The 14,839-nt window shown below is 38.8% G+C and overlaps 1 protein-coding gene across 49 annotated transcripts in view; it reads left to right on the top strand.

Moving 5' to 3' along the window:
• Window positions 1–14,839, top strand: part of NCOA2 (nuclear receptor coactivator 2) — a 346,665-nt gene that overhangs the window by 284,074 nt on the left and 47,752 nt on the right. For all 49 annotated transcript variants that reach the window (XM_047421240.1, XM_047421258.1, XM_047421256.1 and 46 more), the window contains 5 exons: window positions 1,994–2,171; window positions 5,619–5,807; window positions 8,807–8,908; window positions 9,519–9,662; window positions 12,721–12,868. In XM_047421240.1, coding sequence (XP_047277196.1) covers window positions 1,994–2,171; window positions 5,619–5,807; window positions 8,807–8,908; window positions 9,519–9,662; window positions 12,721–12,868 — 761 coding nt within the window. The remainder of the gene's footprint in view (window positions 1–1,993; window positions 2,172–5,618; window positions 5,808–8,806; window positions 8,909–9,518; window positions 9,663–12,720; window positions 12,869–14,839) is intronic.

Here is a 14,839-nt window from a genome sequence, read left to right as displayed (position 1 = left end):
AACATAAGGGAAAAACAAACTAGGGAAAAAGTAAACACTTCAGGCCCCATCCACCAAATTCATTGTTGTATGTGTATACATGTGACATTCATGTTAAAAATAGTAATAAACTTGCTGGGCATAGTGGCTCATGCCTATAATCCCAGCACTTTGGGATTACAGAGTGGTGGGAGGATCACTTGAGGCCGAGAGTTTGAGACCAGCCTGGGCAGCATAGTGAGTTCCTTTCTCTACAGAAAATTTAAAAAGACTGGCGCACTGGCTCATGCCTGTAATTTCACCCCTTTGTGAGGCTGAGACAAGGAGGATCACTTGGACCCAGGAGTTCAAGACCAGCTTGGGCAACACAGGGAGACCCCATCATTACAAAAATAAAAAAATTAGTCAAGTTTGTAATGGTACATGCCTGTAGTTCCAGCTACTTGGTAGGCTGAGGTGGGAGGATCACTTGGGCCCAGGAGGTGAAGGCTGCAGTGAGCCATGATCATGCCATTGCACCCCAGCCTATGCAACAGAGTGAGACTGTGTCTCAAAAAATAAAAAATATCTGGGTGTGGTGGTGCATACCTGTGATCCTAGCTACTCAGGAGGCTGAGGTGGGAGGATAGCTTGAGCCCAGGAGTTCAAGGCTGCAGTGAGCTATGATCGTGCCACTGTACTCCAGGCTGGGCGGAGAGCAAGACCTTGTCTCCAAAAAAGATAAAATTGTAATAAACACATATCACAAAGAAACTGACTAGACCCCATGGCCCTGGTCCCAGGTATGATGAATCAATGTAAAGCTTTCAGTCCTGATCACTCACGTGATCCATAAAACAGAGCTTTGATAAGCAAGGGTCAAAAAGAGAAAAATGGGGTAATGTAACCAGGAGAAACTAAACCCCCAACATTTCCATCACCAAGGTAAACATGATGGGAAGTGGATTAGGGGTGAATGAATATTAGAGTAGAGGACTGTACTGAATGGTCATCAAAGCATGAGCTTTGGAATCTGATCCTTCTGGATTCACATTCAAGCTGTACTACCACTGACTAGTTCTGAGACTTTAACCTCTTTGAGCCTCAGTTTCCTCCTCTGTAAATTGGGAAAGATAAAAGATTCCTTCCAGGAGGTACTTGTAAGGCACAGTGAACATGCTCCACAGCCACTGTTATTATCTCAACTTCCTGAAATGATCCTAGATTCTTTATCTCCTTCCCTTACCTCCGTTGGGATGACAACAAAAAGTGAGGCTGTGAACTCATTACCGGAAGCGTGCTACTGTTATTTGGGTAATTTAGGAACCTGCATCTTAATCTGGAGAACAAGTAACATAGAATAATTTGACATAATTAGTGCCCTTCTAAGGTCAGGGCAATGCTGAGGTCCCCATGAAGGTGAGTTTGCCACATCAGAGACACTTCCGAGACCCTTTCCCATATACACCAAGTAATAAAGGATTGATGTTTCTTTAAAGGTCTGAAATTATCTGTGATGTTTTTCATATAATCCGTGACAGCTAGGTGGTAAAATTCAGGAAGGTTTTCCTGGTAATTATCCTTAAACTGGGGAAAAATTATGACCCCTTTCTCTCATTGTATAACATGACAAACTATAGATCAAAATTACCTTGCATTAGGTTGATGACATAAAAGTTGTTCTTGGCCCCGTGGAGTATGTCAGTCTCATTTTGAAAATACAGATGAATGTCTGTACACTTTTACTTCACGGTAATTATCTCCTGATAAATTAATGGAGTTAGTGTTGGTCGTTTAGTTTGTGACAAGAAACCCTAGTCTAGGCTCTCTCTCCCACTTACTAAGATGGAATAATTTCTATTTCACCAAGAGAAAATGTGTTAATTGTTCCTGAAAACTGGGAGAGGGCTGAGAAAGATCTCTTTTCTATCTGTGTGTGAATTGTGTTTCCTTGAAAGGGATCATTCCCTTCTTAACAATTGCATGTGATGTTATGTTGCATCCTTTCTAACACAATTTGTACTTTGTTCCCTAGGCCCTTGATGGGTTCTTCTTTGTAGTGAACCTGGAAGGCAACGTTGTGTTTGTGTCAGAGAATGTGACACAGTATCTAAGGTATAACCAAGAAGAGCTGATGAACAAAAGTGTATATAGCATCTTGCATGTTGGGGACCACACGGAATTTGTCAAAAACCTGCTGCCAAAGTCTATAGGTAAATGTCTGCTGGGTCTCCCTCCCTACCTCCCGTCACCCCCACCTGCCCTGCCTCATACACACAGTGTCTTGGTTGAAGTGGATCAAATAAAACTATATTATATCAGATGGGGAGGAGAGTGACTGGGTAGTTTTTTACAGATGCTTGTGTGTTTAAGCTTAAAAGTCATGGAAAAGGGGGCATCTTCAGATACTGATCTCAAATGAGTGATCATTTTCGATCCTATATTTAAAGTACGTGAAAATCATTGCTTCTTAGCCAAAAGGCCAAGAAGTGATGATGATGATGATGATGATGATGATGATGATTTTGCTTGGCAGTAATTACCTCATGATAAATGAACAGAAATTGATTCAGATTCATGAAAATGATTCAGATGGAAAGTACTTATATGGCAACTATTTTCATTAAGATTGTTGTATTTTTTTTAATTTTTTATTTTTGTGCATACATAGTAGGTGTATATATTTATGGGGTACATGAGGTGTTTTGATACAGACATGCAGTGTGAAATAGTCACATCATGGAGATGGGGTATTTATCCCCTTGAGCATCTGTCCTTTGTGCTATAATGCAGAGATTGTTTTTTTAAGGTGACACATTGCCTCACCCTGTTCCATGCTAGCCAACTTTGTTTTGTCCATTTTCTCCATGACCATCTGAAAAGTCAAAGGTCATGAGAAGTTTGAGATTCAGCGTATTTTGAGTCCTGCACATGAAGCATATTATAGGTGTGTACACATTCTAAAAATAAAATGTTAAGGAACAAGTGGCAGATGGAGAGGTTCAGATGCTATAGCCCAAGCCCTGAATGGGCTCTTCGGTCTTGCAGACTCTCCAGTGGGCCCTGTAGGTGTGATCACCAGATGCCGCTGCCTTAGCCTACTCTCCCTGTCTGGAATTTCCTGACTTCATCTTATTTTGGAGATGTCGTCCGAGTACGTGATGATTAAGGACACACTGTGCAGTGGGTGATTCACAGCGTGGGCCCACCTTAGCTGCTGCTCTAGAGTACTGCTGTTCCCACTCACTAAGTGATTCTTTTTTTAATATTCTCAAATTGATGATGCTAAGAACATCTTCACGGATTGAAGGAAGTGCAAAATAAGGTCAAATCCTGAGTTGGCAAGTACTTCTGTTCTTAAGATTGTTTATACTAGCTGGTCTTATTGTTGTAATAAGTAGGAAAAGGTCCTTTTCAAATTTCATTCGGGCTAGCTTTTCCTTTATGTGATAATTCTTTGTTCAAAGTGACTATAACAGTGATACAAAATGTATGAATACTTGTGTAGGATTCCTTTATTATATTCTCTAGTAAATTAAGAAAATGGGATTTCTTATTTCAAGTAACTAATATTTTCAGATCTCTTCAGTAGTTTTATGACTTCCTTAAAAGACTTCTACTTATTAATTCACTATTATTAATTCACTTGTCTAAAGAGCTCTTTGCCTTACTTTATATTGTATCCTTTTAACTTTCAACTTATTAATCTGACTTAATAAGAACTCTTTTTCCCTTCAGTTGACTACTCTGTGTAGTCTTTATTTTGTAAATAAGCTTTTCAAAATGCTGATACTGGCTGGGCTCAGTGGCTCACCCGTGTAATCCCAGCACTTTGGGAGGCCAAGGCTGGTGGATCGCTTGAGGTCAGGAGTTCAAGACCAGCCTGGCCAACATGGCAAAACCCTGCCTCCACTAAAAAATACAAAACATTAGCCAGGCATGGTGGCTCGTGCCTGTAATCCCAGCTTCTCCAGAGGCTGAGGCATGAGAATCCCTTGAGCCCAGGAGGTGGAGATTTCAGTGAGCCAAGATCACGCCACTGCACTCCAGCCTTGGTGACAGAGACTCTGTCTCAAAAAAGTAATAATAATAAAATAAAATGCTGATGCTGAAATAAACTTCCCAAATGTCTGCAAAAACATAAAAAGCTAGTTATGGGTTTTTCTGTAATTTTCAAATAATTTCTTACAGCTAACTTTTTCCTTTCGAGGGTTTGTTTCCTTTCTCATTCTACAGCCCAGTGGCCATGGGCTCTTTGGGTTCACTGGGCCATTCATGGGCCATTGGATTCGCTGTAACACCTACATGTCCTTCTCCATTTTCTTTAGCTGATGACTGGAGAATATATTAGTTTTCTTATGACTCACCCTTTTTTTGATCTCCTGTTCTATTGTCCTACTGTCCCCAGTATATTTTAGATAAAGCATAAGGAATGATATAGAAAAGAACACCAAAATGAGAATTAGGATTGATTCTGATTCCAACTTTTCTAGTAGTTGAACATGTCTTTGGACATCAGATTTTTTTTATGTGTCAAATGAGGAAGTTAACCTGGTAAAATCCATAAACACCCTTTAATTCTCAAAATCAGTCATTGTTTTATTTCTTTCATTGTTATCTCTAATGCATTTCAAAAATAATTGTTGTCTTTCCTCTCTTTCATTGTCTCATTCTTAAATATATACTTTTTTTAGTTTTAATACTCAAATAGATGTCTGAAGTAGTTAACTTGAAAAGAAATGACATTTGCACTGTATTTTCAAGGATTTTTCAGTCTTATTGAAGAAATGTACATGAAACAATTTAAAAAGACTACCACTGAACAACTTAGGAAAAACAAAGTTATAAACTATATACTAAAGTTTCTGTAAAATTTGAGAAAAGAAAAATCTGCCCAAGGAGGCAGTATGGGGGAGTAGTTAGTAAAGTATTGATTGTAGAGGACCTCAGCCTTAGAGCATGAGTACCTATGGAGAGAGAAACTGAGGCAACCTGATATGTCAGATAGGGTGGCAGCAGGAGCAAGGACATCCATGCGGGCCCGGTATGGTGGAGCATGGGGAGGCTTGTGCAGGGGAATGTGGAAGATCCCGTTAGATGGATGCAATGGAGCTGGTTAGTGAGAGTCTGTGTTAATGGACTTCATCCTCCAGACTACATCAAGTCTAAATCCTCTGAAAGAATTTAACGTGCACTACATTTGGTGCCACTCACAGAATTTTGAGCAGGGCTGACTTATCTAAAATTAGAATGCAAGTAGATTGAACTAAATTTCTAAGAAATCAGTTAGGAAGACGCAAAAGTAGAAAACTATAGTATTCTAGTAACAAATAATCCAGGACTGGACTTGAAGGGAAGGAGTCAGGGTAAAGAAGTAGTGTAGAAAATGTTTTGAAAATCCCAAGATTCCACATGTATTCCAGAACTTGAAGTATAATAAAAGAAAAAAAAATTGGAAAAAAGAAAATCCCAAGATATTCCCAAGTTGTAAAAATGGTAAAGATTTTTCCTCCTCTAGATTATGAAAGTATTTAGACAAGTATAAAAGTAGTACATAAAGATGAAATAATCATATTTTTCCTACATCATTTTAATAATTCAGAGGCAATGAATCTGATGTTTGTTTCTTTGTAAAACTGGATTACTTTTGCCTTGCTCAGTAAATGGGGGATCTTGGTCTGGCGAACCTCCGAGGCGGAACAGCCATACCTTCAATTGTCGGATGCTGGTAAAACCTTTACCTGATTCAGAAGAGGAGGGTCATGATAACCAGGAAGCTCATCAGAAATATGAAACTATGCAGTGCTTCGCTGTCTCTCAACCAAAGTCCATCAAAGAAGAAGGAGAAGGTGGGACAGAATCCCTAGGGTGTTCTGTGTGTCTGTGTATTTATTCCTGTGCTACTTCCTTCACACTTTAATTAGTGGTCACCCAAAGAAAAGTGAGGAGGCAGTATCTTTGTTCTTTTCAATTTTACTGTTTTGTGATGGAAATTTTTAAGTCTTCAGAACAGCACTGTCCAACAGAATTATCTGCAATGGTGGAAGTGACATATCTTCACTGTCTGGTGTGGCAGCCACTAGCCATGTGTGGCTGGTGAGCCTTGAAATGTCAGTAGTGCAGCTAGGGGGCGGGAGTTTTAATTTTTATTAAATTTACGTTTGAATAGCCACATGCAGTTAGCGGCTACTGTACTAGTATAACTGTATTAGTGAGCACACTTTTGAGGGATCCTAGGCTCTTTGAACATCTAGTGCAAGCTGTGAGCCACAGCCCTAGAAAAATGCACAGTTTTCCTGGCACGGTGGCTCACGCCTGTAATCCCAGCACTTTGGGAGACTGAGGCGGGTGGATCACGAGATCAGGAGATCGAGACCATCCTGGCCAACATGGTGAAACCCTGTCTCTACTAAAAGTACAAAAAGTAGCCGGGCGTGGTGGCTGGCATGTGCCTGTAGTCCCAGCTACTCAGGAGGCTGAGGCAGGAGAATCACTTGAACCTGAGAGGCGGAGGTTGCAGTTAGCCAAGATCACGCCATTGCACTCCAGCCTGGGCGACAGAGTGAGACTCCATCTCAGAAAAGAAAAAAGAAAAATGCACACAGTTAAAACAACCTTTTAAATATACTTTCAAGGGGTTAATGGAATCCATGTAGCCTATCCATGGATGCTGGGCCCAGAATTGATAAAATACAATGGTACTAAAGAGAGGATAGAGACAGGAGTGGGGAATGGAGGGGGTTTTAGACTCTAAGCTTATTAGGCTGTTTGCCATAAAGATGTGCTGATGTAGCATTCACTTCCTGAGCCCACTAGGCAAGCCGTCCACACAGCTGAGTGTCACTCTAATACAAGGCAGTGTTGAAGAGTGCATTGTGCGTGGGGAGCAGAAGGGAAAGAGCTGAGGACCACTTGTGACTGAAAACATCCCCGGCTACATAATCAGACAGGCCAACTCCTAATTCAGCTGCTCCCAGCTCTGGGACTTTGGACAGAATCCTTGGCCTTTCTGAGCAACAGTTTATTATCAAGTGAAGTCACCAATACCAGTATCAGAATGTAATAAGGTTTAAATGAATATGCTGAACTGTGGTTGGCATTGAATGCTAGTTATTTAATGCTTATTTTAAAATTTAAATTTTATTGAGAAGGAAATATTAGAGCTGTTAGAGATAATAAACACATAGTATTTCAAAATTAAGTTTTTTGCCTAGGTCAAATGATTTTATTTTGTTTTATGCAGCGGAGTAAGTGCTGCTAATTTATCCATCTGATAATATTCCAAGGCAGTATAAAAAAGGAATAGCTGAGCTAATTTATTACTTTGTGCTTTATAAACATTTTTTGTACATTTAAAAGTACGTTCTATGTTAAGTTAACACAGTATAGCATAAGCACAGGGTTTCTGAGCCATGGCATGCTCAGATTCTAATCCTGGCTTTGCCGAAGGTTTGCGTGACATTGGACAAGTTACTTAAACTTTGTGCTTTGATCTTTTTGTCTGTAAAATGGAAATAATGCTACTACGTGTGTCATAGAGCTGTTAAGAGGATTAAATGAGTTAATAACTCATACAGTAGCTAGAAAGGTGTTTATCTCGTAGTGCCCAAAAATTTAGTTGTTATTTTCTTGAGGACTATAATTGCATTTTAGTTTTGTGATACCAGCTATTACTGGATATTTCAGTCTTGTTGAAGAAATAATACATGAAACAGTTTTAAAAGACTACAGTAGAGCAATTCAGGAACAGCCAAGTTAAAAACTATATCCTAAAATTTCTGTAAAAGTTGAGAAAGAAAAATCTGTCCAAGGAGGCAGTGTGGGGTCCTATAGTAGTTAGTGAAGTACTGATTGTAGAGGACCTCCGCCTTACAGCATGAATACCTGTGGAGGATGAAATTGAGGCAGCCTGATATTTTAGATAGGGTAGCAGCAGGAGCAAAGAAAAATAATAAACTCTTTGTCAAATTCAAGAAATTCTCAAATTTAGAGGTAAACAATCAGAAATCAGTGATATAAGAAGACATGAAGGGATTACTTAAGTTTTTTGACAACAGCATTTGTCCAGTGTTTTTTAAATGGAAAGGGCTGTGCAGAGTACTCTGCATGTTACAAAGATAAATAAAACTTTTCCCTTTCCTCCAGAAATGAACCCTGACGCATAAGACAGTTGAAGCAAGGTGAGGATTAAGTGATTAGAATTGGCTGTGTGAGAAACCGTCCACAGCCAAGATTCTGAACTATAATGCAGCTGTTCTGGTGCACGCTGCATTTTCTAGGTATTGTGGGAGTCGTTCTCTGAATCTGCGTCTAGACCCAGTTTATATTCTTTGCTTTAAATTGCATGTTGCCATTGTAGTATTTACTTAGTTTGGCATAAGGTGTACCTAGTTTTCCTGAACCCTAAAACTCAAGAAGCAAACCCTTGACAAAACAAGAGTATCATATTTTAGTTTCATCATTTTTGTACTTCATTACAAATTAACCTGGTTTTCTATCAGCCATTTAAAAAGAAAGGATTTCATTTTTTTTTCTACTGCTGGAGAGAGGGTTTCAGATTATTAACGTTTTAGTGTAGTCGATGTATTTCCATCACATGTATCGCGGGGACTTGGCAGTTTATCCTTTGCTCCCCAGCTCTCCTTACACAGCCACCCTCCGTCTCCCTTACCCACCTACCACTTTCATGAAGAGAATAAAACCAGTAGGAAGCTCAGGTACATAGTGTTTCATCACTGTCTCCCTTACTGCTTTTTTAATGACAGGCTGTGCTGTCATAAATACACTTGGGTTTGTTTGAATCACTAGAAAAGCCCAATATGATAAATGTAAACATGTGTGGTTTAAGATTTGCAGTCCTGCTTGATTTGCGTGGCAAGAAGAGTTCCCATGAAGGAAAGACCAGTTCTTCCCTCATCAGAAAGTTTTACTACTCGCCAGGATCTCCAAGGTAAATTTCCTCTCCAAAGAAGACCAAAGGAATCATTTTAGAATACTTACATATTTGGGAATGCAAGGACTCTATTTAGAAGACTGTAAGGATGCTAGTACTAGCAATTGCTGCTGCAGTAGAAATGTCAAGGAGTTGGAGGACCGGAGAGAGAGCCACTGGCTCTCACTGTATACCCTTTTGTTCCATGTACTTATGTTACCTAGTTTAAATAAATACATTTAAATCTTGTTAAAATTTAATTGTTTCTGGCTGGGCACGGTGGCTCACACCTGTAACCCCAACACTTTGGGTGGCTGAGGCAGGAGGATCACTTGAGGTCAGGAGTTCAAAGCCAGCCTGGCCAACATGGCAAAACCTCATCTGTATTAAAAATACAAAAATTAGCCAAATGTGGTGGTACACGCCTGTAATCCCAGCTACTTGGGCATCTGATTCACAAGAGTCGTTTGACCCCAGGAGGTAGAGGTTGCAGTGAGCTGAGATCGCACCACTGCACTCCAGCCTGGACGATAGAGTGAGACTCTGTCTCAAAAAAAAAAAAAAAAAAAAATTATTTCCATAAAGAATAGATCAACATGTAGGTATAATGCCTGCTGTTACTTAATAGGCAAGATCACGTCTCTGGATACCAGCACCATGAGAGCAGCCATGAAACCAGGCTGGGAGGACCTGGTAAGAAGGTGTATTCAGAAGTTCCATGCGCAGCATGAAGGAGAATCTGTGTCCTATGCTAAGAGGCATCATCATGAAGGTAAGCATCTCTAAATGATTTTTCTTAAATTATTGCTTCCTGTGGGAGCTTTCTGTCAATGATTCCTGGAGTTCACCTTGGGAACAGAGCTGGTGACTGTTCTCGTGAGCTGTCTCATCTGGCCCCAGTGTTGCCATCTAAAGGAAAATTTAACAGGAGAACCTGTAGGACAGAAGAGTGATGAAAGTAGAACAGGAGATGATAGTGTCACAGAGGCAGGCAAAAGGAGGAAGAGGTCATTTTCTTTGATCCAGGGGCTTCTAGATATGTGACAAGATTATAAGTACCATCTAATGAAAAGAAATATTAACGATTCAGTTAGAATCTGAATATAAGAGTAAGTGGAATTTTGGAGAGTGAGTGAACCCCTGGTGAAGGTAACAGTGGGACCCCAAGCCCTTCTTCAAGGTGGTAACCAACAAAGACTATCCAGGTGTTTCTAGAGGGCCCAAAAGTTGACACGACTTGTCTCAGCTCACAGACTTAAGCAATAGGACAGCTGGAACTGAGCCCAAGACTTCAGTAATAACAGCAGCCCTTATTGAGCACCTGGTCTTTGTGTGGCATTATCCCTTTTGCCTCCTCTCACTGGCCCTCACAGCAAGCCTGTGATGTGAACATCACGTCTCTCACTCTGGACAAGGGGACGAGGAGGTTCAGGCAAGTGAAATGACTGACTCTCTAGCATTCAGTGTCAGTGCAGGACGTCCATCTGAGCTCATTTTGGTCACTGTCATGCTGCTTCCGAAGGTCTTCCCAAAGAATCACTTTTTCTCAAGTGCATTGTTGTTTTCTGTTAAAGAGGTAGGAACCAAAAAAAAAAAAAATTCTTTTGCTTTAGTATGTGCTAATTTGGGGAGGGAGACTGTCCTTCTCTCTGTGTCCCAGCAGTGCGGTTGGCCAGGGCTCCACATGCACTGTCAGCTGCGCCATGCTGCACGTGAGGGACTCATGCAGTGCAGTGCAGCTTGTAACTCAGCTTCAACAGTTGTCTGCATCCTTGCAGAAAAAAATTTGTAGCTAGTTATTGAAAATGGAGTTTCAGTTTGTCATCATCCACCTAATGTGCATCTGGCACTTTACCAATAGTGTTGGTATGTTTAAACTTTATACTTTTTAGATCACTTATAAAAAAGCAAAAATCTTAATAAATGACCTGTTTCTCCCATGCCCTTTTTTTCCCCTCATCTTATTCATTCTTTTCATCCTATTCATCCTATTTTTTAGAAATAAGTGCATAATCCAACAACTTGTGTCTTCCGTCATTTTTCTTCAAGTTTGAAAGAATACAAGGAAATAATGATGCTACATTGACAGAAATCAATATTTAACCTACTATTTCATTACATCTGGTTTAAAATAGGAAGAATAGTAATAACAAAAACTAAGAAACTGGCATAAGCAAACATGTTCAGCATCCTTGGGTCCTGAGTTTAATTCTTTGACAACCTGATTCCTTACAAAAGGATTTACACAGATGGATCAGGCACTGCACTAGATTTAAACAGATGGGACCCACTGGAAGGAAACCCCGTATAGACATTTCAAACTTTTGAAATAGGTAAGATCAGGAATGATCAGTTACATTGAACAGAAATCTACTGCAAAGCGTTGTTTAAATGGAGGCACTTCCTAAATGTGTTCAGGTGCGTGCTCACAGATACCTACTTTTCAGAGGTGTTGGATGTAGACCAAGAGGAAATGAAAATCTTTAGGGATCACAGCCAAGGTCAGGTAAAATTCTGAAATTATAAGCCATTGGAAATATAAGTCTTACTATAAAAAATTACATTTATGTCATCTTTTAGACACTTTGTGCAAAGCAAGATACTCACATGTTCAGTAATTCATTTTCAGTACTTCCACTTCAGACTAACATTGTGCAACAGTTGATGGCAGAAAGTGAAACCTAAATGTAGTATCTAACTGAAACTGCAGAGAGGAGTCATTAGACAAATTGCTTAAAGTGAAATTTTACGAAGAAATTAGAATCCACATTATATGTCAGTCTCTCTCTCTCTCTCTCTCCCTCTCTCTCTCTCTCTCTCTCTGTCTCTCACTTGTGGCAGTTTTGTGGCATGGTGAATACACATGGTTGCTTTAGGGGTAACTATTCAACCCACAAAATTTGTGCTGAGGATTATGTGGTAGCAACATAGTAGCCTTGTTAAAATGGTTTAAGAGGAACTAAATTCTATGTCTTTTTTTTTAACTGAATTGAAATGTTCTTTTTTAATAGGTGATATAAGACAGTTATAAAACATAGTAGCTTTAAAAGATAAATCTCAATTCTTTTAAGAGAAATTATATTAACCTAGTTGATTTGTGTTCTATTTTGTTATTGTCTTGAAAATGGAAACACCTGATCCCTTATCTAAAAGTTAAACCAATTCCAGTGTTGCTAAGATTTGCACTTTTATTGTTTCAGTTTTGTTTAGCCTTTTTTTCTCTGAATAGATTCTTCTGATTGTTTATCTTTTACTTCCTGTTGTCCTAACCACATAAATAATACTTCTTACACAGTGAGAAACAGGACTGGGGGAGAGTAGTGTGTGAGATGATGGATTGAACAGTACGTAATTTCTAGATGAATATTCAGAGAACATATTAAATGTCATAAATTTTATTTTCATATTTGTATTAGTTTTACAAGGAAATTAAAGTCATATTGTATACGTAAGAGATACCCTGTTTATACATTGTGTTGTTTTCTACCATTTTAAGCAAATCATTATAAAGCTTGTTTGAGCAGTTAAATGGTTTACACTGTTTTGCCATAATAATAAAGATTTTAAGAACACAGTTTGAGGGTCCAGGCTCTTACTCCTTTTCATAAGGAAAACAGATAATTGAGGTTATTGGTATTTTCAGTGAAAAGTAAATGTGCTTTTAAAATGTTATGTTTCAATCTCATAAAGTATTACTTATAACTCTTTACATGCTGGTGGGAAACTATTATGAAACTTAATGAAGTTGATTACTCTTATTATGTCTTGTCCTCCCCGACCCCTCAATTTTTTTTTCTAAACGTGCCTTCTGTTTCCTTGCTTGCCTGCAGTACTGAGACAAGGATTGGCATTCAGTCAAATCTATCGTTTTTCCTTGTCTGATGGCACTCTTGTTGCTGCACAAACGAAGAGCAAACTCATCCGTTCTCAGACTACTAATGAACCTCAACTTGTAATATCTTTACATATGCTTCACAGGTAATCCTAGTTCTAAGAAGTCATTTTCCATTTCCAAGTTAAGAGGAGATATTACAAAAGCAGCAAATTATTTTAGAGCTTTGAGGATTTGTTAGACATTTCTTCTCATCAATCCCAGTAATGTAAAATATAAAATTAAATTGTTATTAGCTGTTGGCTAAAAGACAATTCATAATATAATTGGCCCTCTGTATCCATGGCTTCTGCATCCCAGGAGTCAACCAACCACAGATGGAAAATATTTGGGGGAAAAAAAAAAAAATATATATATATATATATATAATGTTATACTGTATTATTTGTATTATAACTATATTTACACTGTATCAGGTATAAGAAATTATTTCTAGAAATGATTTAAAGTATATAGGAGGATGTGTGTAGGTTATATGCAAAAATTATGCTATTAATTTCAGGGACTTGAGCATCCATGGATTTTAGTATCTGCAGCGTGGGGGCAGGGTGGAGGCTAGAACCAGTCCCCCATATAACCAAAGAACAACTGTACTGGCAAAGTAGGACTCTACTTTGAATTTTAGCCTTAACACTAGTTAATTGTAAAACCCAGTTGGCACTAAGTTTGCTTAGACATGATTGCCCATTACATTGAAAAAGGGAAATTTATTGATCAGCTCCCAGTAGCAACAAATGCAGGGCAGGAATATTGATGTCACTAGTATGATTTCTGCTCCTGTGTGTTTAAATGTAGAACTGTTTGGTTTTTTTGTTTTGTTTTGTTTTTTGTTTTGTTTTGAGGCAGAGTCTTGCTCTGTCTCCCAGACTGGAGTGCAGTGGCGCGATCTCAGCTCACTGCAACCTCTGCCTCTTGGGTTCAGGCAATTCTTGTGCCTCCACCTCCTGAGTAGCTGTGATTACAGGCATGCGCCAGCCTTGAGTGATCCTTCCACCTTGGCCTCCCAAATTGCTGGAATTACAGGTGTGGACTACCACACCTAGCCTAAATCTAGAACTTTCTATGTATATATTTACAAATAATATTTTAGATTTTTGTTCTCTGGTTCAAATTAACTTCTCAACATTAGACCTTAAATTGAAGGGTAATAAACATTTTCATAAAAAAGTGAAGATAAAGAAATTGAATATTGATTTTTAAATAAATGTCATAAGCCATATTGTCTTAGAGCACATATTTAGGAAAATGATTAAATTTCATTAGTTATCTAAATATTTATGCTTATGCTGTGGAAAACTTTATGAGGTCCTATCAGTAAATATATAACGTTGCTCTGGCTGAGGAGTTCCATTTTATCACATTTCTCAATTCACTGTTTAGGAGTAAAAAAATCAGGCAACTCTGTTTGCCAACTGTTAATAAATCTAACCTCAAACTGAAACAATTTGAAAGTGATTACAGATGTGGCAAATTTCACCCACCTAACGAAAAGCTGATGTTTGACAATTTGTGAAACCTGTTTTATTTGGATTTGTGAACACATTTGGTAACTCAAAAGTGACTGCCAAGGCTGTAAATTAAAGCTCATAGAACTTGCAAAATCATCTTGCTCAGAAAGCCTGCTTTTAGTCATTAGTAAGGAGATGGAATGGAGTTATCCAGAAGTAGAAGAATAAGATCCCAAACTAAAGTCACTCTGAACTTCCCTTCCCATGCTGTTGGCTCTGAGGTCTTGCTCTGACTTGGAGGGGTGTGGGGTGAGGAGATGAGTGGAAATCTGTTAAACAAGGTGATCTAATTCTAAACAGTTTTAGTAACTATTAGTTCTAGAACTGGCAGAGTTTCTCTTTTAACAGTTAGGGGCAAGTTGTTTTCCCCTAAGCGTGTTTATCTTGAGCCAAGTAGTAAATATCAGAGCTCTGGGCTTACAGATGTGTCTATTGTTAGGAATTATAATCTCTGGAAAAAAAACTGAAGACAGCTCTACTCATTTCTTTAAGACAGTACAAGCTCTCAACTACTCATGAGAAAGATGTATTATGTAATTGGAACCCTGT

The sequence above is a fragment of the Homo sapiens genome, chromosome 8, assembly GCF_000001405.40.
Source record: "Homo sapiens chromosome 8, GRCh38.p14 Primary Assembly".
Taxonomy (NCBI): Eukaryota; Metazoa; Chordata; class Mammalia; order Primates; family Hominidae; genus Homo; species Homo sapiens.
This window is presented reverse-complemented; position numbering and strand designations above follow the sequence as displayed.